Source organism: Homo sapiens, chromosome 18 (genome assembly GCF_000001405.40).
Source record: "Homo sapiens chromosome 18, GRCh38.p14 Primary Assembly".
In the NCBI taxonomy this organism is placed as follows: Eukaryota; Metazoa; Chordata; class Mammalia; order Primates; family Hominidae; genus Homo; species Homo sapiens.
Window position 1 is genome coordinate 10403662 of NC_000018.10, and position 27622 is coordinate 10431283.

The window sequence follows — 27622 nt, forward strand, 5'->3', positions numbered from 1 at the left end:
TCCATTGTCCCTCTTGAACTCACTATAAATGGGGAATAAGCTCCTTCCATGAGCTCCTTAATTTCCTCAGAGGCTGAAACAACTCCCTGGCAACAGTGGTCCAGCTTTGCATCCATGCAGGGGGATTTGCAAGGCTGGTCCCCACCCCCACCCCAGGCACACAAAAAGGCTTCTATTTTTTTCAGAGATTACATGGTGGGCAGAGAAAGAGCAGCTGAAACACGTGACACGTGACAGGGTGTGAATAGCTGCGCCGCGCCGGCACTGAGTCTGTGGCTGATTTACTGAGGGGGTTTCCTTCGCTGACGGTCTGAAGGCGGGAGCTGCTGTCCACCATGATAATAAGCCTGCATGTCCTGGAAATGCTCCGAATGCCTGCCTTTTGAAAACTGGAGGGACTCAAGAGCCTTTGGCTTATCAGAAGTAAAGTAAATAAAAGGAATACGCAGAGAGATCCTTATTGCCTAAAACCCACTGACTCCCATGAAAGTTTCTGATAAGGCTTTTAAGAATATCGTCTTATTCTAACGTTCAAAGCAGCTTTGATGGTAAGGCTCTGAACTCGCCAGCCCTAGGCCCAGCCTGGCACATGGGCCACAGGGGCGGGGCATGTGTCCCTGCAGGGACAGGGAGGGCCCAGCCTACAGCTCTCTCCCACCAGCTTGGTGCCTGCAAGCCCACCATTCTCTCTCCATGCCATTGTGCTGAGCACAGAAGTCCTGAGCGGATCACAAGCCCAGTCTGCTCTTCCTGCCAAATGGTTCAATCGGAGCCAATTCCTTCCTCTATTCTCAGAGATTCAGGGCAACCCGAGAGAATAGGACCCTAAGAGGATTAAACACCCAGGGCGGAGAGATGGTGATGCCGAAAACAAGCAGAGGAGAGGAAAATTGTACTGGGGATTCACCTATTGTGAAGGCTGCAGGCTTTTGTTACTTTGTCTCATCGCCAACTCTAGTGGCAAACTAGGAAAATTGAAGGTGCCGAGTTTTAACTCTAGTTGTTAAATTGTACAGGGTTCCCGGAATCTCCTAACTTCTCCTGTTGCTCACAAATGTGGTAACTAGAAAAAACAGTTTAAAAACTTGGCATCCTTCAAAAGTATCTTAAAATAGATTTATATTTGTAGGTACGATCAATTTTCAAATGGCCCTTTTTAAGCCTGGAAACAAAGTTAAACTCCACAATATTGCAAAATTAGAATCTGCAATTGAACTAAAACTTTATACATGGGATTTGCGGTCTTTCTACATCTCTGGTTCAGAAATGAATTTGGAATTCAAGACAATTTATCATCTCTTAAGGAAAAATGAACTGGGAAACAAAAGCGGACTGAATTTGTATTGATATTAACCCAGTCTTGCGGGTGTTGTTGCTGTGTTATTTCACCCCAGTCTTCACATCTGCAAGCACTCACTCTCATCTGTCAATTACGCAACTGCAATTTTGATCAAAATGAAACACTCCGCACTGAGATAAAAACAGGGCGTGGTATTCTTTTTTGGACTAGGAGATTTGGATAAAACGTGATAACACTGTGGTTGAACTCTGCAAACACTCCCGATCATTCACACAATTTCGGCTTCACTCTGTGGTTTGGATGCAGATTGTGGAAATCACAGCCTGGACCCGGAGAACTTGTCGCAGCAGCAGCAGGGTTTCCGGACCCAGTATCTCCCTTCCCTTTGCTCTCCTGACAGCTGCCTGCATCTGGAAAACATTAAATAACCTCATCCTTTATGTGGATTCATTATGCTCTTCAAATTCATTATCAATTATCAACTGACTGTGAAGAATGTTTGAAATCAAAATGAAGAGGAAGTAATTAATGATGAAGAGTAGGATCTAGAAGGAAAGGTGAGCCCTCCTGGGGTTAGGACACGGAGCTGAATGCTGCAGCCACTGCGTGTTTCCTTAAATTCAATGGCATTTGCAATACTTTTTAAATAAGTGGAAGATAAGAAATTTGGCTCCATTGTATGTAAGAAGTAAAGCCAAGTCTCAGTGGTATATCTTCAATGGCACTGGAAGGTTTACATGGAAAAGCCAGACTTTTGGAGTATTGCTATCTGTAAAGGGAAAATATAAACAACCAGAACAACCTATCTGAGAATGGAACTCCCAAAGCAGTATGACTTAGATCAAATGATTTTTAAGGGGTTTCAGCCCTTAAATCAAATGATTTATACAAGGGAGGGGGTTCCATCATCCAGGGGACTCCCTCCTGCCTTATAAATCATGTGATCTAAGGGCTGAGACCCCATTGTGAACAGAGAAGGCCTGCCTTCGAATCTGCCACCAACTGGGGATGGGAAGCAACCTTTGACAAGATAGTTATTCTCTTTGTGAATCCAAAGCTGGTTTTTGGAAACCTGAGCCTCAGAAATTGGCGCTTAGAATGTGTAGTCCTACATTGGGCAACGAGACTATTTCTGTGCTGGGAGTATAGCCCCCTCTTCCCATATCACCCATTTACCTGCCTCTCATCCCATCAGCTGGGCGGGAGGGCAAGGCCAAAGGGCTTCCATCCTTCACTGTGAGGAATGCAAGTTCCCTACACGAGAGGGAGAGAGAGCTCATTATCAAGAGGTCTTTCCTCCCCAGGCAGCTTCAGAGAACCATCTGTTGATGTGGCCAGGAAATGCTGGCTGAGATCCCAACAAAGGAGCCGAGAAGTCCTGGCCAATGTCTGGCACCTGTGTAAATGTCTGTCACAGCAAGAGTGACCCCCATAATTACCTCGACCTTATTCAAGCGAGAAGTGCCCGTCAGCCTGAGCCCGGTTTGAGAGGCACGCCTGCTGCTCCGTCCCTCCCCCGTGAGCGCGCCAGCTGAATCTCCAGCTCAGCAGCAGCCCCAAAGCCCCCATCATCAGAATTTCACCTCCTCCAGCAGCAGGAGACCTCCTCCAAGTTGGGGGAGGCGCCCCACACAGTCCTGACATCAAGGGCTTTCCTCAGAAACACCCCAGCTGGGGGCTTTCTTTTGACTCACAGCACTTTCAGCCAGGATGTTCATGAGCCTGGGGTCCATTGTTTGTGAAGTCAACTGGATTCCAAGTTTAAACATGCAGAGGAAAGGAGGAGTTCCTCAAGCACCTCTGAACTCCAGCAGCTCTGGAATATTCCCATTTCAACATTCCCACCTGCGCTCCGTCCTCCCTCCTGCCTCTTCCATCATAGGGGATGAGATGTGTCCTTTTCAAAGGGTGTGAGGAACAACTGTTATGCACAGAACTAAGGTTAGAAAACACCTTGTAAGTCAACTGATTAACAAGCACATGGTAAGTGCTCACAAAATACAAATAATACCAATATTACCTCTCATATTTCAGCTTTCTTGTAGCCTAAAGTCCAAAACTCTGTTTTGTGGAACAGGATAGCATGGCCTATTTAAAGATAAAGTGCATTGTGCCCTTCAGATTGATATGGATATTTAAAACTCCATCATGCAATTTAAATAAGCTTGGAAAGACATGAATTCAAAAAGTAAAATTGTCACCTATAGAAGTGCATACTAACAATATTACTAACAGTAAAGGAAATGTGATTAAGCATATCTAAGTATCATTACAAACCTAATAAAAAATAAAAAATATAAGAGCCAGTTTCACTGGGATTATGAGTAAGCCATTCAATATTATGTGGCAATGTGAATTGGTTCAATATTTCTGGTGCCATAAGCTCACTGCTCAGATTTACAGCTCATCATCCCGAATACCTTCAACAAAAAGCTAATCTACAAAAAAAATTAAATGTCTTGTGCAAAGATAGAGGAAAACGGAGATCAACTTAAATGTCCCCCAAATTATTTGCCTGAAGGTAATGTTTTAGAGTTTTCAGAGTGGTGAGAGAATGAAAGTTTAAGAATCAGGACGTGGTTAGATGATGGTATGTCTGAGTAAAATAATGAACTGAATCAGGGGAGATGTCTATTTGTGAAGGAAGCTGTGCCTACCCACACCAGACCTCTCAGATAATGTCTAAGTCTCCAATGCCCAAAGTAGGAAGGACTCACCCACCTAGAAGGAGAATCCAGGCAGTGCCAGGTAGTGTGGTGTGGCGGTTAAGGGCATGGGAGCCAGGATACCTGCCTTTGAATGTGGCCTTCACTTCTTTGCTGTGTGACCATGGGAAGGAACTCAGCTTCTTTGTACCTAGGTTTTTCTCATCTGAGAAACAGGAATAATAATAGTCCATATCTTCTAATGTCCTGTGAAGATTAAATGAGTTAACCTTGGTGAAGGTCCTAAAAAATTGCCAATCTTATACCATGTGCTTGTTAGAAATGTTTATGTAATAAATAAGCAATATTAAGGTACACAAACTGTATCTTTTCTAATTCTCCCCTAGCTGGAGCGGGAGGACAAGGGTATACCCTAGGAGCCAGCGGTAGAACAGAAAGTTTATTGCCCCAGATTGAAGAAGACATCTAAGTCAATGGGGGGAAACACCACTAACAGCTGAGGTGATGGCTGATGAGTGGAGGGATTTTAAGTGGACGGAAGGAGTATGGAATGTCAGGGTCAGGAGCAATGGGGATCATCAGGGCAGTGCTGCCTCAGACTCGGGGGTCTGTTCATTGTCTTATGTCAGCTCCTTGGGATGAGTGGCTGAGCTGTGCCCAAGGCTGGGCAGACAGGTCCAGGGATAAAGAAGGGTTCAAATCTGATGAAGATAGGCAGTGGTGAGTGCCAGGCCATAATGAGACTTGTCATCTCAGCCACGAGGATCTGGAGAGGCTGGCTGAATTTATCCAACATGCTGGATGAAAGAGGCTGCCCACCAGCGAGCGGGAGGCTAAGACTGTACCTGAATGGAAGAGCGCATGCTTCCACCCTGCAGGAGGACTCTCCGAGGGGCTAGGAGCATCTTTGTTCTAAGGCGAGCCCCCAGAATCTCTCAGCAGTAGTGGCAGCTATGGAAACACATGCAACGCTGCCCTGATACAGCCTAGCTGCAGTTGTTGGGCTAAAATTATTCTGGGCCTATTTGATGTATTTGCAAGCTTCTGAGAGACAGGAGAGTTTGCAGACCTCTTACCACTTCACGAGGCTTGAGATACATTACATCCACACTGGATTTGACATTCACAGCTATAAATTGGGTATTTACTGCTCAGGAAAAGGGAGCTCAGAGCTGTTAAGTTACCAGCTTAAAAAGCTAGCAACTGTTAAGAAGCAGATCCCATACTTGACTCCAAATTTTATGATGCAGAATCCGTGTTCTTTAGTCACACTTCAGTGGATTGCAATGAGACATGGAATGGCTTATGAACATGAAATAGCATCACTTAAAGAAGCACAATTAAAATATAGGATGTAGCATAGAAAAATACATGGCTCGGCAATGATAAAAGTAAGAAGTAAAACGGAACTGATGAAAGGAGAGTTCAGTGATTATTTGCCCTTAGTTCCTATTAAATGTACATATGTTCATCTTAAATAAATGTTTGCATGGAAACTTTGACCTTGTGGACATGAGTTTAAAAATGGTTCTGCTATTACTGATTAGTTTAACTGGTTTTTCTTGTTTTCTATTTTACATTTCTCATATTCCATGGGAATATTAAATTGGAATTGATGTGTCATTTGCAAAATTTCTTCTCTATTGTTGGAGAACTCAAGTCATCCAAGGTATTTATACCTCATGCAGGTAAATTTTTTTCCAAAAAAGAAGGTAATTAAATTGCTGAGCATGTTGAGTCCTGCATATAATCCCAGTGCTTTGGAAGGCTGAGGCAAGAAGATCACTTCAGGTCAGCAGTTTGAGACCAGCCTGGGCCACATAGTGAGAACCCCCATCTCTACAAAATAATTTAAAAATTAAAAAAAGAAAATAGTTTAATATGCATCTTGCCAAGGAGCATCTTTACTCACTGGAACTGTCACTTTCACCCAAAAAATAGTACCCCTTTAGGGAACTCAAAGTAACTATCTGTTTATGAGGCTGAGATTTTTTCCCCTTTGTATAGTTATTTATCACTATACAAACAAAGTGCATTATAGTAACAAAGTACCATAAAGTTAGTGGCATAAAACAAAACCCATGTATGAGCTCACATTTCTGCCAACCAGCAGTCTGGATGGCTTAGCTGGATCCTCTGCTCAGGGTCCCCCGAAGGTGCAGTCAGGTATTAGTCATGCCACGGATCTCATTTGTAGCTTATGGTAGTCTCTCAAGTTCAATAAGTGGATGGTAGAATTCAGCTGTTTGTGGTTATAAGGGGTCTGGGGTCTCTGCTTTCTTGCTAACTGTTGGCCGGACACCATCGACAGCTCCTGACCACGTGGCCCAGAGGTCGTCACAATGACTCGGTTCTTGAAAGAGGCACCATTTTTTTTTTTCTCCAGTAGTTATTCTCCCAGGGAATGAAGAGTATGTGGGGAGGACGTTGATATCACATGACCTTACACTTTTGCTTGCTCTCCACTGAACTCAGAGGTGGATAGGGGAGCTTAGGCAGAAGGCAAGACATCTTTTACACCCCTCTGACCTCCTGGGCCCCAAGAGACTAAAGAAGTTTCAGAAGAGCTGAAGGAATTCAACTGTGGGTGGGAAGTTGCCTTTATGGGAGGACAGCAGAAGAAACAGATAAGTGTGTTTTCCAGAAACCCATACTCTTTGGAGAACAATGTTCTCAGATGTTGAGGAGAGTCCCTGGCCAGCCCCACTATGAGCTGTGCTGCAGCTCCTGGGCTGGTGTCGAGGGTTGCAGAAGCCATCCCAGTGGTGAAAGCCAACTGAGTCCAGCTGGTCTGATGTCCCTGTAAACAAACGGGGAGGCCACAGTGTGAGCATGGCAGTTTTGACCCGCGTGTCACTGTGCTGACATTGAGACTGCTGCTCTAAGGACCATCTGGAGAGTGAAAGGCACCTCTCCCCCCATGGATCATTCCAGTATCCTCTTATCCTAGAGCCACTCGCCTTGCTCAGATCCCAGGTACATCCGAGAACTGTACCGTGTCTGAGCTGAGAGAGAGCTTGAAGGTCATATGCAGTCCTCAGGCCTCACGGTGCAGATAGTGGAGCCAAGAACAGAGAACAGGAGTGCCTGCCCTGGTCAGCTTGTCTTAGTTCTCAGCTGAAACTTATGTTAAACAAGTAGCTGATCGAGATTAAGAATGATCCAGGTGACTGTTTTAATCCGTGCAAAAGAGAAACCAACACTCCTAGTGAATGAGCCCTGCCAGCTCATGGAAACCTTCTCCCACTTGTTCACACTTTAGTCACTACCCATCTGAACAATAAATCCACTGCCTGTGATGTGCTCAATGGATCGTCCTTACAGCATTTCCAGCAAGACCACACCTCCTGTTGCTGTCTGCTTTCAGATGGCCTGAAAGGCCCACTGTCATATGGTCAACAAATCCAGCCCTCTGCCAGGGAGAGGCCCCTCCTACTGCCCAGGAGGTCTTTGCGGCATGAGAATAATGCACTGGAGAGTGCTTCCTTTTGGCTGGTTCTGCATTCTCACACTGCCTGCAATGAGATCATTTTGGTGCTCCACAATGGGTGTTGCATGTGGGAGCCCTGCGAATCAAAGGGAAAGCAATCACAGGAAGATCTGTCAATCACACAGCACCTGCTATGTGCAAGGTGCTGCTCTAAGCACACTGCATATGTTGGCTTATTACTTCCCAAGGTAATACTACAGATGAGAGGCATAACCTGTCCACCCAGCCATGGCAGAGCCATGTGACACCGAAGGGCCAGGGGATCAGTGCCTCTCTCTATAGCCTTTCCATTGCTAAAATGGGCAGGGAAAGGAGCTATTATTTGTTGTTTACTATATGTGGATGGTGTTAGATGTGTGATTTTCATTCAGTCTTATCACCTTAGGGGGAGAGATTTTTCCTACCAGCTCACACACAGCCACACCCTACCCACACCTATGTCTGTCCCTGCTGTTCTGTTCTCATCACACTGATCACTGTGCAGTGGGTATTTCACTTCATTCTTTATTCTTTCTTCCCACCTAGAAGGCAAACTGCAGGACTTATTTACCCCTTTTTTTCCAACTCTTGGGTGGAACATGGTCTCTAGAACATGGCATGTAGTTGGTGATCAATAAGAAATCGTCAAAAACATATGTGTTTTGCAGATGAGAAAACATGCTCAGAGTCATTGTCTAATGTGCCTGTGGTCACAGAGGTGGTCAGTCACAAACCTGGAATTTGAACTCTGGGTGTTCTCACCTGGAGCCACTTTTTTTTTTCCACCATTCTAATTATTGGAAAACACTTCATTTCTATTGAGTGGAAACTTTCCTTCGATATTTCCATTTGTCAGCGTAGTTACCATTTAGAGTGATACAAAATCAGTCTCATCCCCTTTCTCCCTACCAGTTTTCCACATTTGCAGTTATTGTTCCCTCTCATACAAGCCAGGTCCTAACATAAAGCAGCTTTTCTGCCTCTCCCCTAGACCTATTTGAATTTGTCCTTCTTAACTTTTTTTTATTTTTTATTCTTTTGAGACAGAGTCTCCCTCTGTTGCCCAGGTTGGAGTACAGTGGCACGATCTTGGCTCACTGCAACTTTTGCCTCCTGGGTTCAAGTGATTCTCCTGCCTCAGCCTCCCAAGTAGCTGGGATTACAGATGCCCACCACCACATCCAGCTAATTTTTGTATTTTTATCAGAAACAGGGTTTCACCATGTTGGCCAGGCTGGTCTTGAACTCCTGACCTCAGGTGATCCACCTGCCTCGGCCTCCCAAAATGCTGGGATTACAGGCATGAGCCACCGAGCCAGCCCGAATTTGTCACTCTAAAAGGATGATGTGGGTGGGCATGCTGGCTCATGACTGTAATCCTAGCACTTTGGGAGGCTGAGGCAAGAGGATCACTTCAGTCCAGGAGTTTAAGGCCAGCCTGGGCAGCAGAGTGAGATCCCAACTCTACAAAAATTTAAAAATTAGCTGGGCATGATGGTGTGTGCCTGTAGTCCCAGCTACTCAGGGGGCTGAGTTGGGAGGATTGCTTGGGCCAGGGAGGTCAATGCTGCAGTGAGCGATGGTTATGCCACTGCACTCTAGCTTGGGTGACAGAGCAAGACCTTATCTCAAAATAATAATAATAAAATATATAAATAAAAGCACCGTGCAAATCTCATCTTACAGAAGCATGGATGTTGAAGAAGAGCAAGCTGAATAGAAGCTCCAGGTGTCTTGCTCCAGGGGCCACTAGCAACTTCTCTCATTACAACTCCAACAATGCCCCATCTATGGGCTCCAACAATGCCCCATCTGAGCAGTAGTGCCTCAATAACCATCAGCCCATCTCTTCTCTATCTCACCAACTGACAGGGTGGATACAAAGCCTCAAGCTGTGTCCACACATTCCCCACAAAAAGTGTTACATGGGCAGAGAGGAAAAGCCATTGGCAGCTGGGCCTTCCCATTTGTGAGCAGAGTCTGCCAGCCTCCTCCAGCTCCTCTGCAGGCTGAAGTCAAGACCCAACAGGCCTGTGCCAACGTCGTGTCCTCTCTGTGTTCAGGCTTGGCGGTATCGCATTCCTGGCATAATTTTCCATCCTTGTGCCTGCAAGGCATTACTGTGTGGGAACGGCACCCTTGCCTAATGATCTTGGCCAAATCCAGTATCTCTCATTCACATGGGTGCCCCCTTGCCCCCAGGATAGCATAAAAGGTGGCAGTTGAAGCTGAGTAAACAAAAATAGAAGATGGAAAACGTTTCGGTCCGGTCCCAACCTCAGGAAATCCTGCATCACGTTTGCTGTTCTGATCTAGAAGAAAGGTTGACAAATCTTTCCTTAGCTTTTCTCAGCTTATCTTTTTCTTAGCTTTTCTTAGCTTATCTCAGGATGGTGGTGTTAGGTTTTGCTGATGATGGGATCCCAACTTAACTCTTCTACAAATCTTAAGGCAAAGTGAAAACGCTTGTGAAAATGCATGGTATTCCTGAGTTCAGAACTTCCTGTCCATCCTCAAATCACCAGCCTTCTGCAGAGAATCACACAGTGGGTGTGATTCTGCCACCAGTCAGCTGCCACCAACGATGACTGGCCACAACAAAGCTGAATGACATGGGGCATATCACACCAAAGGACCTCTCTTTTGATGCTAGTATTTATCTTTGAGCCTTGCCTCTTTTAGAGGTGGCCTACATGACTTTAGTCAGTTCTGGCCCTTAGAGATCTTTCTTATGGAAATCTCCAGAACATTCTGCACACCATCATGCCTCATGGAATTGTGGCCTGGCAGACATTAAAATACCCGTTTTTCAAATAGAGGAAGTGGGTTCTTTGAAATGAACAGAATTCAGAAGCACTCTGCAGCATCTTGGAAATGGTGGCAAAGCAATTATTTTAAGTACAAGAGGCTGTTTTGATCTTGGGAATTACCTGTGAAGGCCCCGTCACAGGCTCTGCTGGCCAGTGGCAGCTGTGCACGGATGAATAACTGCTGCAGGCCTGTGTGAGCTTCTGCATGGCTGGAGCAGCACTGTGTCCCACAGCAGGTATCTCCTGGTGGTAGAAGTGGTGCCCTTCCCTTGGTTAAGCAGAGTGTGGACTGGCCAGTCTCAAGCTTCCCTCAAAAGTTCTTCCATCACCAGATACCTGGGTTTCTCCTAAGGCAAGGGATGCTGACTTTCCATCACAAAACGGAGCACTGCGGAAGCTGGGGAGCAGAATCTCAATGATGCCCACAGGGGGCAGGCAGAATGCCACCACTCGGCCAAGAAGGCGTGTTTGGCTACGACAGCCCAGAGTCCAGAGCCACGGCACTTCCGGTTGCTGTCCACGCGGCTTCTGCTGGTACTCAGCCACCACGCCCACCAGAGCCACCGCACTTCCGGTTGCTGTCCAGGCGGCTTCTGCTGGTACTCGCCCACCACGCCCACCAGAGCCACCGCACTTCCGGTTGCTGTCCAGGCGGCTTCTGCTGGTACTCGCCCACCACGCCCACCACGTGGAGTCTAGCAGCTCTCCCTGGTTCTCCCCAGCTTCTCTGTAATCCTTCCTCCACCTGGCAGCCGGAGGCATTCACTTAACATTTAGTGTATCATGCCCTTCCCTTGCTTGCCCTGTAAAGGCTTCCTCACATCCCTCATAGAATTCAAACTCCTCACCCCGAGGCTCAGCCCTCCACCTGTGGCCCTGCCTCGTCTCCATGCCACTTTGAAGCTCACAGGTGACCTTGCTTTTCCTTCAAGTTGCCAGCATTCCCTCATCATAGAGCCTTAACTCGCTGCTCCTTGCCCTGCAAGTCTTGTTCCCTGATTTAACCAACACGAATAGGGCAAGGGATTTTTGGCATCCAACTCATCTTCCCTGATCATCGTGTAGCTGCTCTCTTTGCTTTTCAAATCTCAGGGCCGGGCACAGTGGCTCACACCTGTAATCCCAGCACTTTGGGAGGATGAGGCAGGTGGATCTCTTGAGGTCAGGAGTCCGAGACCAGCCTGGCTAACACGGTGAAATCCCATCTCTACTGAAAATGTAGAAATTAGCTGGGCATGGTGGCAGGCGTCTGTAATCCCAGTTACTTGGGAAGCTGAGGCAGGAGAATCATTTGAACCTGGGAGGCGGAGGTTGCAGTGAGCCAAGATCATGCCACTGCACTCTAGCCTGGGTGACAGAGCAAGACTCCATCTTAAATGAAAATAAAAAGAAAGAAAAATCTCAGCATAGGGGCCAGCCCATCAGACAGCCCCTTCCCGATCATCCACACTGACCCAGCTGTGCAGCCGCATCGCCCGGTTCTCAGTCCTCGCCTTGCACTGACACTGCACGCTCTTTTCTGTATTCATCTGTTCTTGTCTCTCCCAGGAAAGCAGGCCTCTGTTGTATCCTTCGTGTATAGGACTGTACTGGGGGCATGAACACAATCACTCTTTTTTGAAGAATGAATGAATATATAGAACACTATGGCCCCTTCTCCCCAGACTTCACTGCACCTGACACTCTCAACACAGGCACAATTATTTATTTGCAAACTTGTAGGAATGTGAAATCTGCATGTTGGTGCTCTCCTGGCCCCACACAGGAACTTAGCTTTCAAATGCAGGCGTATGACGTAAATGTCTATTTAACCGAGAAGTGGAAAATATGTTCTGAAGGCACAATCATAAGGACAGTGTTTTTGCCTTCGGATCTTAACACCCAGCATTCTATTCCTTAGGTGTCCTGCTGAATACCCAATTCCTTTGACATTTAAAAATAAAGAATGCTTCCCCAACAGAAATATATCCCATTCCCTATGTTACTGTGCAGATTTGGGGACCCAAAAGTTACTTTGCTTCTGTATATTGATAACTAAGGAAAAAGTAGGTTTCAGATCTTAAACTATCATGAGAAATATAATCAGAATCGAGACAGAGCCTGACTTGTGATTTGCAGTTCCCGTCTCAACAATTGCTTCAGCTGCTTAGCTTGACACTGAATTTTTTATTACCTTGGTGGCGGTGGGGGGAGATGAAAAGGGAGAATTTCATGAGCTCCAGTGTCCTCTTTTGCATCCTTTGAAATTCAAATCATGTTCAGCAATGAGCAATTCATAGACAGGGTGTAATTGCCGATACAGCATATAAGATGTCCTTTCCTCACCAAAACGCGATCAGTCTACACACTGACCCGAAGACCACGCAGAGGAGCGGCACTCCTGACAGACACAGCCTCAGCCGGGCAGTGTGTTATAACTGTAAAGAGCCTTGTGCCCCAGAGGCCTAATTACATGGCAAAATGCTGTGTTTTCTCACATAGTTCTCAAAGACAACCACCTGCTCATTGTGGGGAGATTTAAGGTCTTAAACACCGAGGAAAGGCATTTCATGAAAAGGTTACCCCCAAAGAGAAATCCAAGGTCAAAGTTAGATGGCTAGATACACACTGGAATTAATATACTCATTAGTTCTTAATACAGGGGATGCCTAGAATTCAAAGGGGGCTGTCTTACACCAGGGGCATCCAATCTTTTGGCTTCCCTGGGCCACATTGGAAGATGAATTGTCTTGGGCCACACATAAAATACACTAACTCTAATGATAGCTGATGAGCTAAAAAAAAAAATTCCAAAAGAATCTCATGTTTTAATGTTTTAAGAAAGTTTACGAATTTGTGTTGGGCTAAATTCAAAGCCCTCCTGGGCCTCATGTAGCCCATGGTCTGCGGGTTGGACAAGCTTCTTTTACATATTCAGAGAAGGAATTTGGACGAATATGTGTGATATTTTTTCCTTTTATGAACATCCGTTGAAGGGAAGAAACAAGATATCCCAGGCTGCCCATGTATCCTCGTGGTGGGTGGGTTGAGAAGGAGCACCTAGGCCCCCAGGGGAGCAGATGTTGCCACTGATTTATTCAGTGTGTTTTCAGCTATATACGAGCTACATCTACATCCGTGTCAACTTCGCACACAAGTATATGAACAGTAAATTAAAAATTACAAGCAGCTTGGAACTGAAACACTCTCAGAGGAAAAGTGAACCATGACAGACAGGCAACAGGAAAGTCCCAAACCGACAAGTAGAATAAGTTTGGTTCAGGCAATGGAGGTGGTCAGTTCCCCTGGTCATTCCAAGGTGCCTTTATACCTTTATCCTTGGCTACTGTGCCCTCCATCCCAAAGGCCCCAAAAAATGAGCCATCGTGCTCTGGGTGGTAAAGCCTGCTTGCTACCTCCCTGCTGACTCAGAGCGTGTACTGGATTCCCAGATCTTCAGCCATGAGCCATGTCACTCCCTGTCTGATTCTTCCTCCCACACAGCAAGGACCTGGGGCGCTGCACCTGAGCTGGGGTGGGTGGAGTCTGCATGCCAAGACTGGGTGTAGTAGCTGGGTAAGGAGTTGCCCCTGGGCTATGATGCTTGGAGACAAGGGAACCCAGCAAGAGAAAACATCTTATGTAGAAACCAAAGTTAAAAACTATGCAGTCCTCCCAAAGAAGAGGTGGGACTAAAGAGACTAAAGAAGACTAAAGAAGACAGGCACAAGGGGGAAATTTAGGTTTGAGGCAACTGGACAGAAGAATGGCAAGGAGAAGAACTTGGAGAAAATCCTTGAGCCATGAGAATACATCCAAGGCCAGCCTTTTGAGTACTGAGTTATGATGTAAATTGCAATTCCTACTGTGAGTCTTGGTTGAGAAAACAGGGCTCTAGTTATGTGCAGCTGTGTGCTGGAAAATTTCTGTGTAAGCAGCTCCACTGAATAGGTTCCAGCTAATAGTGTGTCCACAAGAAGTAACCCAAGTCCCCCCCCAGCACAGCATACCACACAGACCAAGAGGTCAGGAGCTGTTTCTTGGTTGTTGGCTGTGCCACCTCTTGCATCTCAAAGAGCATTTTTCTAGGTTAGGCCTGGCCTGAACAAAATGTGCTTAGCCCCAGACCAGCTATGCCCCATATCCCATTGCTATTTTCCCTCTACACTACTTGACAGAGGTTGCTCCTGTGCCTGGCACTGACTACAGGACCATATCACATGTCCCTGTAAGATTACCTTTTTTTTTACACAGTTACAGGGAAAACAGAGTTTATGGAAAAACTGCAGCTCTATTATCCCTGGCAAATTTACCCTGACTTATTCTTTCAAACTCTTTTTCCACAGGTTTTAAAATTTGCAGAATCTTGGCCAGGTGTGGTGGCTCACGCCTGTAATCCTAGCACTTTGGGAGGCCGAGGCAGGCGGATCACGAGGTCGGGAAATCGAGACCATCCTGGCTAACACGGTGAAACCCCGTCTCTACTAAAAACATAAAAAATTAACTGGGCGTGGTGGCGGGTGCCTGTAGTCCCAGCTACTCGGGAGGCTGAGGCAGGAGAATGGCGTGAACCTGGGAGGCAGAGCTTGCAGTGAGCCAAGATCGGGCCACTGCATTCCAGCCTGGAAGACAGAGCGAGACTCTGTCTCAAAAAAAAAAAAAAAAAATTGCAGAATCTCAGGATGGAAGAAATCCTAAAAGTGTTCTACATAGTGTCCACCTTTTGTAGGTTTTCTAAGTCCCAACCCAGTGCTTTTTTGTAATGTGCAATGAAAGTCCTAAATGCTTTTAACGAGTGAAGAGCTTTTCATTCCAGAAGTACACATAAAGTCTGAAATGTAAACACAATGAGAGAGGTAACATATGATTTAATTTCACTCTAAGATAATAATAATGGCCATGAACAATATATTCTGGAAAAAAATGATAGTGAGGAAGCAGTCTGGGAGGTTGGGAAAAGAAGGCTGAAAGACAGTAAATGATGTGGCAAAAAGAGACCCTGGGTGCCCCAGAAAGGTCCTTGATGGCAAAGAAGGCAGGATCAGGGCTGGAGAAGAGAAGCCTCCTAACCTCTTCCTGGGTCACAAGCCTGTCTGCCTTGCTGAGGCCCCTCTGGGTAACTGTGTTTTGTGTCACCTGGACTGCAGTGTGGGGTACCCAGATTAACTGTGACTTCTGTAAGGGTGTTTCCAGGGGATTAGCATCTGAAGCAGATGGCCCTCCCCAATGTGTGTGGGCCTCATTCAATCCCTTGACAGCCTGAAGGCAGAGGAAGGAAGAACCTGTCCCTTTTCCTTCTTGCCTCACTTCTGGAGCTGAAATGTCTCATCTTTCCAGCCCTCAACTGTTATTTACACCATCAGCTCTCCTGGGTCTCCAGCCTTTGGCTCCTGTTGAATTACCACTGGGTTTCCTCGGCCTCCTGCTTATATACAACAGATTATGGGACTTCTCAGCCTCCATAGTCATAGGAGCCAATTCCTCATTTTATAGACACCATTGGCTCTGTTTCTCTGGAGGACCTTGATTAAGATAGTAGCTTGTTGTGAAAAATATCCTTTTAATTTACTTTATGTTACTTCGGCACACAGAGGTTGCAAGATTTTGTCAACTGAAGAATGATTAGGCTCATACATCTGGAAAGGAGAACTTCATTTCTCATAAAGGGCAGTGTGCTGGTGGCCAGTCTGATAGGCTGGGAATCGTAGCCTCTAGCCAGAAGCCAGAAACAGATACTCAGAGGGAGGGGCAAAGGGTGCAAGAATGTATACGGAATGGTGTGGCCAAGTATACATATTTAACAATCTCTAGGAGGAGTTGTGGATATTTATGGGAGGAGAAACATGCACACGCACAACTGAGCTTCATGCCTTTCCATGGGGACCCAGGTCCAAAAACAGTGGCATTAGCATGACATGAGGGTGGAGACTTTAGCCCTCTGATGTCAAAAGGTGAAGCAAAGGAAAAGAAAAAAAAAAACCCTCTCTGTGGATCCTCTGTAGACTGGCCAAAACCACACTGTGGTCAGTGGTAGTCTTATCAGGAAGGAATGCTGGTCAGTTGTTTTGAAACTGCAAAAGGGATGGGCACTGTCATGCAGTTGGTTGATATCAGGTGTGGAGTAGTCTTTCCAAAGGGCTGGTTTCTGTTCAGCCCCCAGTGAAGAAAAGCTAATGGGGCCAGCAAACGAGGGGGGATAGTGAAACATGTCTGAGTTCCCATCCTATCATGGCCAGAACTCAGTTTTTAGGGGTTCTCTGGGGTCCTCTTGGCCAAGTGGGGGTCTATTCAGTTTGTTGGAGGGCTTAGGATTTCAGTTTTGTTTCTCAGTTCAAAGCTCTGAATTAGGCACTGTGAGGGGTACAGAAATAACTAAAAGGCCATCCCTTAACTTATACAGCTTACGGTCTGTCAGAGAAGACACACTTGCAAATATTAAACTGTAATCTGAAACAGAAATATACTGAAATGAGCCAAGCACTGCAGAAAGTTATAGGAAGGTGTCATTGTACCTAGCCAAAGGGAAGCTGGGGAGGGCTTTGTGAAGGAGGAGACATCCGACCAGGGATTAAAGGGTAAGTAGGATTCTCATGGTCTAAAAAGGGTTAGAAGTCGAGAGCTGCATAATTGCCTAATGGGTTCTTCTTGCCTGCTGCACAGACAAAACCAGTTCACTGAGACTACGGTATTGCAGTGAAGAAAGTTAATTGCTGCCAGGCTAGGCATGTGGAAGGCCTAGTTTTCACTCAAATCCAGTCTCTCTGAAGGCTTGGAGGTTAGGGTTTTTCAAGGAAAGTTTGGCAAGGCAGGGAATGGGGAATGTTGATTGGTTGGGGATGAAATCATAGGGGTGTGGAAAACAGTCCTTGTGGGCTGAGTCAATCTCTGGTAGGAGCCACAGGAACAGTTGAGTCATGAGTTGTTGGTCCAGGTGGAGTCAGCCAATCATCAGAAATGCAAAAGTCTCAAAAAACATCTCAAAAGGCCAATCATAGTATCTACGATAGTGATGTTATCTACAGGAGTAATTGGAGAAGTCACAAACCTTGTGACCTCCTCAACAATAGCTGGTTATTGTTTACGCCTACCTCTTAGCAGAATTTAGGTCCCTGTCATAATCCTAAGCTTGTGGCCTTTCGTTAGTTTTACAAAGGCAGTTTGGTGTTGAGAAGGGGTATTATCATCATTTCTTGAAGCTTAAACTCTAAACTAAATTCCTCCCAAAGTTAGCTTGGCCTACACCCAGGAGTGACTAACAATAGCTTGGAGGTTAGAAGCATGATGGAGTCAACTACATCGAATTTATCTTACTGTCACAGATGGAGTCAACTATGTTGGATTTATCTAACTGTCATAATCTTTGCAGAGTTAGTTTCAGTCCCAATCCCACAGGATTGGGAAAGCCTGCAGGGTGCTTGGGAAATGAGGTGCTGTATTTCTCACCTATTGCCACTGTAATAAGCCATCTGTTTGCTATAGCTAGTTTGATAGCAGATATTGCACTATTTGTTGTCTATTGCAGCTCTCACAGATTACCACCAATTCCCAGGCTATCAGAATGGCCACCACCAATTTCGTGATTTAAAACAATACAAATTTATTATCTTACAGGTCTGGAGATCAGAAGTCCAAAAAATGGGTCTCACTGAGCTACAATCAAGGTGTCAACAGGCTGTGTCCTTTCCTGGAGGCTCTGGGAGAGAATCGGTATCCTTGCTCTTTTCCCACTTCGAGAGGCTGCCACATTCCTTGGCTGGTGGCTCCTTCCTCCATCTTCAAAGCCAGCGACAGATGGTGAATGGAGTCCTTTCACGTGGCTCACTCTGCCCTTGTTCCTGCTGTCACATCCCCCCTTCTCTGTCTGACTTTTCTGTCCCCTTCCTCCACTCTTGTCATTACCTTGGGCCCATCTGAAAATCCTGGATCGTCCCCCTAATTAAAGTCAGTGGACTAGCAACTTTAATTCCATCTGCAACCTTAGTTCCCTTCTGTCATGTAGCCTAACCTCATCACGAGTGTCAGGGATTTGCACGTGGACATCCTCAGGGACCCCATCGTGAGTGGTTGGGGGGATGTGGCCAGAAAGAAGGCAGTGGCAGAATGCCCAAGAACTCTGCAGCTGCGCTGAGGCATCTGAGAGCCAAGGAGGAAACCTTCTTTGTGGTTAAGTAAGAATGAACTAATATCCATCTGGCATTTGGCATTTTACACTGCACTTTTTGTACATTATCTCATTGGATCTTAAAAACAGCTCATTGTGAGATGTGTTAATATTATTCTTATTTTAAGGTGGGGAAACCGAAATCAAACAATGTAGGTGACTTTTTTCAAGATCACCCAGTGAGTGATTCAGGACTTGGCCCAGGCTTTCTGGTCTACACTCACAGCCTTTCCTTCATCCACAGAGGCAAGATCTAGCAATTGAATTAGGTTGCCTGAATACCAACCTTTGTAACCTCCTATTGTTGGCTTATTTTCCTTATGGTTTTGGAAAAGAATCTTTCAAAACAAGTCAATTTTATTACCTAAAAGTTACTTTGCTTTTAAAAACTGTTCCTTGAATTAATCCACATATTGTGTCTTCCTCAGAATGATAAGCATAAAGGTAGTTACATTTCGTTCTCATCCTTACACCGAAACATGGGGAATTAACAACACCCCTTCTCTGCCGTCAAGTGTATGTGCAGGTTAGGGAGCATCTTGAGAGTTTGGTCCCACCAGCTTCCAGAGCCTGCAGTCTGGCTTCCCATGTGGCTTGAGGCTCCCAGTGCAGGCAGCCCTCAGTGTCTAGGTGCTGGGCTTCCGTCTCACAGTCCCTGGCCAGCTTCCCTCAACACATCCCTCTAATGACCCCGGGGCCTCACCCAATCTTTTCTCCTGACATATTGGGAAGTGAGGGGCAGCAAGGCCCTTTGGCCCAGCAAGGGTCCCCTGCAGGGCTCCCCACTTGAAGGGGCCTGTGCTTTGGCCCCATGCACTGACCCACTCCTTGCAGGTGCCCAGAGCAGCTGAGGGACCTGTGCCTGTGGAGTCATGTGGGTCGTGGGTGGGCTCTGGCTCCAGGGGGCAGCCCAGCATGGCCGTCACTCCCACTCACTGCCACCGGAGATCGTTTGGGATCTGGCCATCAGAGTGGTGCTGACAGCCTGGTTAAGGTGACCATGGTCCTTGAGTCTCAGCCTGTGTGCAATTCCACACATGGGCTCCTCCCCTCTGTGTTCTGGCTGTGACGCCCTCTAGCTCATAGCACCGGATGGTGCTGTAGGTGCCAACATGTGTCCCTCATGGTGCACAGCACCCACTGACCAGCCGCCCTCCACAGACTCTGCACATGTGTCTTGCTATGTTTTGGAGGTGGTCAAATCCATTTCTCCTGATGAAACTTCCCATCAATGTGGCCACACTGCTCTGTTGGGTCATTCTGAAGCCATCACTAGCAAGGACAGCCCATCTTGTATGGATGGGCTCCCTGTCCTTGTTCTGCTGCAGCCCTCTCACCTGGCCTCCTGCTGGTGCGGCGTGGAAGGCAGATGTTGTCCATGGGGAAAGAGACCCCATTCATTATAGGCATGCCATGATGTCAGCCTAAAGAAGTTAAGGGATGGCTGGGTGCAGTGGCTCATGCCTGTAATCCCAGGGCCCAATGCCTGTAAGCACTTTGGGAGGCTGAGGTGGGTGGATCACGAGGTTAGGAGTTCGAGACCAGCCTGACCAACATGGTGAAACACTGTCTCTACTAAAAATAAAAATTAGCTGGGCATGGTGGCGCACACCTGTAATCCCAGCTACTCAGGAGGCCGAGGCAGGAAAATCACTTGAACCCAGGAGGTGGAGGTTGCAGTGAGCCGAGATCGCGCCATTGCACTCCAGCCTGGGCGACAGAGGGAGACTCCATCTCAAAAAAAAAAAAAGAAGTCAAGGGATGACGCCGTGGATGATGGGTTATTCCACATTCATGCTACATAACTCAAAATACCACATGACCAGAAAATAAATCTTCATTTGCATTTTCCTGAATCATCTGGGTAATCCTGGCATTGGTGGTCCATGTCAGCAAAGCACATAAACCACTTTGAGAGTCAGCAGAAGCCATGCCTGGTCGTGACACTGCAGCCTCACAGGTGATGTGACCAGTGGTGCATGAACGGTCCCAGGTCTACATTGTTTCAGTACAAACAGGTCCCTGAGACCCATGGCAGTGAGTGATGACAGCTTTGCTACCTTTTCTTCCTAGAGATATGACCTTGACCAGGAATGCTGCCTTTGACAATAAAGAAAAAGAAGAGATGATGCCTGGACACCACAAACATCACGTGCACTGGCTGGATGATAGAAAAATACAGCGGTTCCTCTTCTCCACCCACTATCGCAAATCCCCATTGATAAATCACTATACCCCACGTGGACCCATGAATTTTGTAACATATTTTACAATCAAATTGTGTAGACAGGAGCCTTACAAAAATTAGTTGCCCACAGCCCCGCAAACCCTAAAACCTGCCCTGGTGAGGAGGATGGTCACCTGATATTGTTTTAAATCCTCCTTGGTGTCCTCCTTCAAATTATGCCTATTGTGCCAGCTCAGTGCCCAACATACAGTCAATCTCTAATAAATATTTCCTGGAGGAGAGAGAGAGAAGAAGTTGGTGACACTAGTCATGCCCCTAATGTTTTATTTTTGCTCTTCTAAAAAGCAGTGCATAAGAAAGTTACCATATGCAGTGAAATAAAAATGCTGAATTTACGTCTTTTGCTTCCAGAAGGAGGTGAATGTGAAGGTCAGATTTTAGGCAGACTTCAAATTGAAGCTCAGTTTTAGATAAAACATTCTCAGTGCAGAGGCTCAGAGATGACGCAGTGGGGCGGAGGGTGCCGGAGGGAGGGAGGGAGGCAGGAAAACTCAAGCCCTCTCTCTGATCTCCATGGATGGCCAGATTAGGAAATGCATGTGGAACCACAGGAAGAGCCACACGGGCCAGAAGCGACATGCTTTTGAGTGGTAAACCCACAAATGAACATACAAGTTCAGAATTCATAAATGTCCCAGAGAAGACAGCAAGCTTTAGAAGCAGCATGCATTTCATTACCAAGCAAATTTACTGATTTGTTTCAGTTTTATGTCTTTGGACAAATATAGATTGGCAGGATTTTCATATTCAGCTCACTTCATGCTGCTGCTTTTGATTTTTTCCTTCCTTAGTTGTGACCTCTTGCAGAATTCCTGACACTGAGCTACGATGTTCTCAAGCATGTTGCAATGTCAAGTTCAGGCACTTAAGAATCATTAAATCCAAAATTTCTCTCATCTCTGTTGTTTTTGGAATTGGGGTTGAAAATGGGTTTGAGGGCAAAGTATTCTTTCTAAGCAGAGACCTAGCAAGCACTGGCTTAAAATGCTGAAATGGTTGTTCTGTCTAAAAATCTACATTTATAAACATGTGTGGTAAAATAAATAAATAAATAAATAAGAGCCACAGCCACATGCTCCCTTGCAGTGCAAGCATTCCTGATGATGCCATCTCCCCCTTCTCTCAAACCCTGGGAAGTCCTTAGTTTCTCAAAACTAAAGGATTGAATATCTCTTATTAGACACAATTTCTTCCCCAATTAGGAACATGGCAATGCAGGCAATTGGATTTTCCAGGTGAGGAAACTGCAACAGAAAACCTTCCTGGTACCTGCTGGCCCCATGCCTGCAGCCCCCACTGGCCCCTGTGCATTGAGACCCCAAATATTCATTGCTTCAAACCTGCTGGCAGACACCATTTGGGGCATCTTTGCTCATGACGACCACTGTAGTCCGCAGTCATCTATCTCTGAACATTTCCCTTTACTATGACTACAGCGGGGAGCTGATGGATATAATCATTATCCTTTGCTGCTTTCATTTGTACATTCATTCATCCAACATTTTTTGGATGAACAAAAAATGTTGGATGAATGAATAAAAAATGTTGGCTGCACAAATACACAAAGGAAGGCAGCAATGGCTAATGCTATGTCCTAGGGGCAGCCTTATGAACATTTATCATTATACAACATGCTGGGTTACTCAGAAGAGAATAGAAGGTGAGGTGGGGAAGGAAGCCACAGAGGTAAGGAAGACCAAAATGCAGCTGCCTTCATCAGGCCCTACTTCCAGAGATGCACGGGTGGATGGAGCTTTTCCCTCTGACCCAGTCCTTCAACTGCATGTGATGCTTTTGGGACCCACGCATTCCATCCTTTCTGCCCTGTCCTTCTCCTGGATGTCATACATTGGGATCCAGGTGTTCAGTTTTCTCTGCCTTGTTCTTGCTCTGCATGTGATGATTTAGGGACCCAGGTGTCCAGTCCTCTCTGCCCCATCCTTCTCGTGTACGTGATACCTTTGGTAATTCGGGTAACCAGTCTCCATTTCCATAAGAGGTAGCCAGATGCTCTTTTCAATCAGGGATGTCAGGGATGTTTCCCAAAAAATGATTCACCCCCTGGTGTAGAAACCTGGTAACTAGACAAGAGGCAGTCACAGCACCACAAGTTTTCCAAACGGGTGAAAAAGGAGAGGTCCCTTTGTGGCCCAGTACCATTTCAGCTTTGCCTGGAAACTGTGGTCTTATAAAAGCCAAAGAATTACAGACTCTGAACTGGAAGAGTTTTGTGGATCATCTAGTCCAATATTCAGTCAACTCAGGAATTCTCTCTATAAGATAGCTGGCAGGATCTGCTTTTCAAGCATGAGGACTCTCCAGCTGAAGACGTGTATAGGGCAATGCCACACAGAGCTTTCGCAAATGCAGTCTGGCACACCACTTGCAGCTCCTACTTGCTTAGGACACGCCATGTGCTATACATCACGCTAAGTGCTGTGAGTTCATGCTCAGTTCTCATTACAACGTTAATAGATAGGAACTATTAATACCCCCTTTTTACAGATGGGGAACCTGAGGGTTAGACACACTAAATAACTTGTCCTTGGTAATTCAACCAATAACTGACACAGCCAGCATTCAAAATCAGGTTCGTCTGACTTCACAGCTAATTAGACAGCAGAAACCCTACTTCTACTGTGGCCTTGGAGGCCATGTAACACAGGGTCAACTTAAGAGATGCTTCCGAAGGCTTGGAGAGCAAGGATACACTTCCTTTTGAGATGTTTCAGAATGCCAAGAAACCTCCCCAAATAGGACACTCAAAACTCCCCATTCTTCCACATCTATGCCACACTGTGGAACCATTACATCCCTTCTTTAAGAGATACTCGTAACCTAACTCATTAGTAATCTGCTGTAGAGTTTTGCCATCAACTTCTCTCCCCTGTTTTGGAAGGTGAGGTCATATTTTCACCTTTCCAAACTTTTGGCACTTCCCATCTGTTTTTGTGGAACATTACCAGTGATGATGTCAAAATTCTATCTTCAATTCTTAGGTCTTAAGAACAGTGTTATTAGAATCATGAAAAATGGTGGATTTTCTTCCTCCCTCAGACGTTTATGATGACATTTCTAGTAGATTTTTAACAAACTTCCCATCATGTCAATAAATAAGGGCAGGTAAATTGCATGAACCATTCTTTTTCAGTTAAATATTTTTAAACATATTTTACTAAAAATCCTACTCAGGAAATGTATCATAGACCAATTTCATTTCTGTCAACTTGGTTTTGCCAGCATCTTAGAATGTATTTACAGTTTCAGGAGACCATGACAATGACCCATACTTTTTATCCCAAGGTCAATCCCTCCATCTATGCAGGTCTGCCTACCTCTTGTCTACAGCATAGTGCAGAATGGCTGATATTTGGAGGTCATTATTAATTCTCAGGTGTCAGGACTTACTTACAATTCATGCTCCAAGTAGGCTGTCAGTGAATATCCGTTATAATTAACTGAGCCACCAAAACTAGATGAAAAAAGTTTCCTCTGATGAATAGGTGAAGCACAGAACATTTTACGGCAGAGAGACTATTCTGTATGACACTGTAATGGCAGACACATGGCATACATTTCTCCAAGCCCACAGAACCTACACCACAAGAGTGAACCCTAGTGTAAAAGATGGATTTAGTTAATAATAATGCGTCAGTACTGGTTCATCAATGTAACAAATGTAGCATACTAATGCAAGATGTTAAAAATAGGAGACGTTGGTGGAGGGGTGGATTGTGAGGGGTTGTATGAGAACTCTGTACTTTCTGCTCAATTTTTTTAATAAACTTAAAACTGCTCAAAAATGCAAGATACATTTTTTTAATTTTTATTTTTGAGAAGGAGTCTCGCTCTGTCTCCCAGGCTGGAGTGCAGTGGTGTGATCTCAGCTTATTGCAACCTCCACCTCTCAGATTCAAGCAATTCTCCTGCCTCAGCCTCCCAAGTAGCTGGGATTATAGATGTGCACCACCATGCCCGGCTAATTTTTTGTTTGTTTGTTTTTTGTAGTTTTAGTAGAGACAGGGTTTCACTACATTGGCCAGGCTGGTCTCGAACTCCTGGCCTCAAGTGATCCACCTGCCTTGGCCTCCCAAAGTGCTGGGATTACAGGCGTGAGCCACCGTGCATGGCCAGGAAAATACATTTTATTAATCAAGGAAAAGAAACCCTTCTCTTGGCTGGTATGCAAATCTGCAACAACAAAATTATGAGAATAAAAAAAAAGAAAGAAGTAAAAAGAAAAGAGAAGAAAGAGAAAGAAAGGAAGCAAGAAGCATTATGTGACGACAAAGAGCCCAATTAAGAAGACATAACTTAGGACATGGAAGAAATTTGAATACAACTTGAGAAAAAGAAGATGATCCCTAAGTGTTTCGGACTATAGAATTTTGAAAATACATGTTAATAAATGACTATAGTGAGGCTGAGATTTAATCAAGAGAAGTGTAAAATAATGCCAAGTCCAACAAGGCAGTCAGGAAGGTAATTGACTCTATCATGTCACAAAATAAATTGGCAGCAGCAGGAGCAGGGCACAGGATTCCATCTCTCCCAGTCGGGATTAACTCCTGCCGCAGAGCAGGACTGGAAACACGAACACTGAGCATATGATGCACTAGCCTGTGAAATGAAATCTCCCTAAAAGTGAGGGTTGGGGCTTTTCTGCTGCCCTAAAAGCCAGCACTGATTATCAGACAGGTTCAGCACATTCATCCATGGCTTGGAGTCACCATTAGCACTTGACCACTATAAGGCGTTTATGTACAAATTAGAAACAGGCACAGCTATAGGAGAGTATGCTGATGAACAAAAAGATGCTTTTCTGGCTGTACCAGTTAGATAAAAGCAACCCCTCTGGGCAGAGCAGTTCGTACGAGTGTCCTTTTTCCAGTTGTGTCTTGGCAAAAGTGCAGGCTGGATTTTAGCTCCCACAATGCCCTCTTGCAGATATCATTGTGTAAGGCACAATCTGCACAACTGCTCCTGACATCTTTACTCAGGTGGAATAATTCTGCAAGAGTGTAGCCTCTGGTTCCTGAATCCTTGGCTCAGATCCCTGGTTGATAAGCAACTGCACTGATGCCTGGAATTTTTGGCCCAAGAAACCTTTGTCAAGTTAAGAAGGTAAAATTACTCCTCTTTGTTAGATGTGGAAATGTATAAGAACACAGAATTTGAAAAAATGAATATGGAGGCAAAATAATTCAAACACAAGATTATTTGTATCAAATTCGTATTTGTAAAACAGTAAGAGTTGTGGGTTAAACCTGAACTCTTAAAATTAGATTTTAAGATTTGTGGCTGGGCGCGATGGATCCCAGCACTTTGGGTGGCTGAGGCGGGTGGGTCACCTGAGGTCAAGAGTTCGAGACCAGCCTGGCCAACATGGTGAAACTCCGTCTCTACTAAAAAATACAAAAAAAAAAAATTACCCGGGCAGGGTGGCGGGCACCTGTAGTCCCAGCTACTCAGGAGGCTGAGGCGGAGAATCGCTTGAACCCAGGAGGCGGAGGTTGCAGTGAGCCAAGATTGCACCACTGCACTCCAGCCTGGGCAACAGAGTGAGACTCTGTCTCAAAAAAAAAAAAAAAAAAAAAAAAAGATTTGCAAGTTAATCAGGTAAACTTAAATTAAACCAAATAAGCCATAAATAATCCTTTCTGCACATAAAATCACCGATCTAATGTTAACAAGAACTCCATAAAACAAGAGGCAAAATAGTATCTGGGAAAAACACAGATTGAGGTGAATTGTAGAGCTGAGGAAATAAATTGAGCATTGAAATAATACCATTACAGAACCAGTAAATAGATTGGAAACAGCAAGAAACAAAATATATAGTTAAGGTTAGAAATCAATTATTGGCCGGGCGTGGTGGCTCATGCCTGTAATCCCAGCACTTTGGGAGGCCTAAGCGGGCGGATCACTTGAGGTCAGGAGTTCGAGACCAGCCTGGCCAACATGGTGAAACCCATCTCTACTAAAACTACAAAAATTAGCTAGGTGCAGTGGCGCATGCCTATAATCCTAGCTACTCAGGAGGCTGACAGAAGAATCGTTTGAACCCAGGAGGCAGAGGTTACAGTGAACTGAAATCAGGCCACTGCACTCCAGCCTGGGCAACAGAGTGAGACTCTGTCACACACACACACACACACACACAAAAAAGTCGAGTACTAACATAAAAGAATAATTTAAAATAATCAGAGTAAATACAAAGGAAAAAGATTAATTCCTTATAACAAAGAGAACCTAATAGATATAAAGCTAGTGTCCTTAAAAAAAAAAAAAAGCCAGCAACTGAAAACCTAAAAGTATACAAAGACATATCAGGAAAGACATTTTTCTGAAATGAAGGAAGAAGCAGCCTTCCAGATCATAGAGGTGTATTTTCCAGAAAATAGATTTTAAACTGACGGCTCTAAAGACTTATCCTGGTTGTCATTAACCTTCAGGGGAAACATCAAGAATTCTTCAGTTGTCCAAATAGAGAAACTCCTGGGGCCTGGTTGGCTGGCCTTAGACTTGTGCATAACAATCGTCACAGCCAAAATACATTGGAGCAACGTTATAAGGGAAAGAAACTCTGATCTAAGCATGTCACACCCAACCAAGATGTCATTCAAGTACAAAGACAAAAGGTCAAAGGTCCTGAACATGAAAGAACTCAGGAAATATAGCACCCTTGAGTCCTTTCTGCAAAACTACGTATTGATGACATGAAGCTCACCAGGGGCTACATGGAGAAACTGAGGACTAACATTTCATGCCAGAAGATAGGCCAGCAAAGTTTACAAGGTTCTAAGGGAAAGTGATCCAGGAATTTGAGATCCAGCCAAGTTTTCCTTTCAAGCTTTTAAGAATGAAATCCAGCCAACCAAGTGATAAATCAAAATAAAGAAATAAAGAATGGAACAGCCACAGTAAAAGAATAAATGGTAGGGCGTCACTTACAAGTAGAGCTAAGGCTAAACAACCTGTGGCTATAA

The 27622-nt window shown here is 45.2% G+C and overlaps 2 long non-coding RNA genes across 2 annotated transcripts, besides 4 other annotated features; one reads left to right on the forward strand and one right to left on the reverse strand.

Annotated features, from left to right (window-relative positions):
- Positions 495–1148: an enhancer, noted in NCBI's record as "H3K4me1 hESC enhancer chr18:10404153-10404806 (GRCh37/hg19 assembly coordinates)". NCBI's record gives its function as "activates a minimal SCP1, AML or CMV promoter by ChIP-STARR-seq in primed H9 embryonic stem cells {active_cell/tissue: H9 hESC(primed)}" and the evidence as "EXISTENCE:reporter gene assay evidence [ECO:0000049][PMID:30033119]".
- On the reverse strand, positions 1472–10709 carry LINC01254 (long intergenic non-protein coding RNA 1254). Its single transcript, NR_110775.1, has 3 exons — positions 9120–10709; positions 2477–2554; positions 1472–1710 (listed from the first exon to the last, which is right to left on the reverse strand). It is a non-coding gene; the product is annotated as a long intergenic non-protein coding RNA 1254 (long non-coding RNA).
- Positions 1930–2716: an enhancer, noted in NCBI's record as "OCT4-NANOG-H3K27ac-H3K4me1 hESC enhancer chr18:10405588-10406374 (GRCh37/hg19 assembly coordinates)". NCBI's record gives its function as "activates a minimal SCP1, AML or CMV promoter by ChIP-STARR-seq in naive H9 embryonic stem cells {active_cell/tissue: H9 hESC(naive)}" and the evidence as "EXISTENCE:reporter gene assay evidence [ECO:0000049][PMID:30033119]".
- Positions 2547–21594, forward strand: LOC105371988 (uncharacterized). The gene is made up of 3 exons (XR_935142.4): positions 2547–3283; positions 17836–18018; positions 20459–21594. It is a non-coding gene; the product is annotated as an uncharacterized LOC105371988 (long non-coding RNA).
- Positions 2717–3503: an enhancer, noted in NCBI's record as "OCT4-NANOG-H3K27ac-H3K4me1 hESC enhancer chr18:10406375-10407161 (GRCh37/hg19 assembly coordinates)". NCBI's record gives its function as "activates a minimal SCP1, AML or CMV promoter by ChIP-STARR-seq in naive and primed H9 embryonic stem cells {active_cell/tissue: H9 hESC(naive and primed)}" and the evidence as "EXISTENCE:reporter gene assay evidence [ECO:0000049][PMID:30033119]".
- Positions 10060–11259: an enhancer, noted in NCBI's record as "BRD4-independent group 4 enhancer chr18:10413718-10414917 (GRCh37/hg19 assembly coordinates)". NCBI's record gives its function as "activates an origin of replication core promoter dependent on BRD2, P300/CBP, MED14 and CDK7 cofactors, and independent of BRD4, by STARR-seq in HCT116 cells {active_cell/tissue: HCT116}" and the evidence as "EXISTENCE:reporter gene assay evidence [ECO:0000049][PMID:35650434]".
- Positions 21595–27622: the final 6028 nt, after the last annotated feature.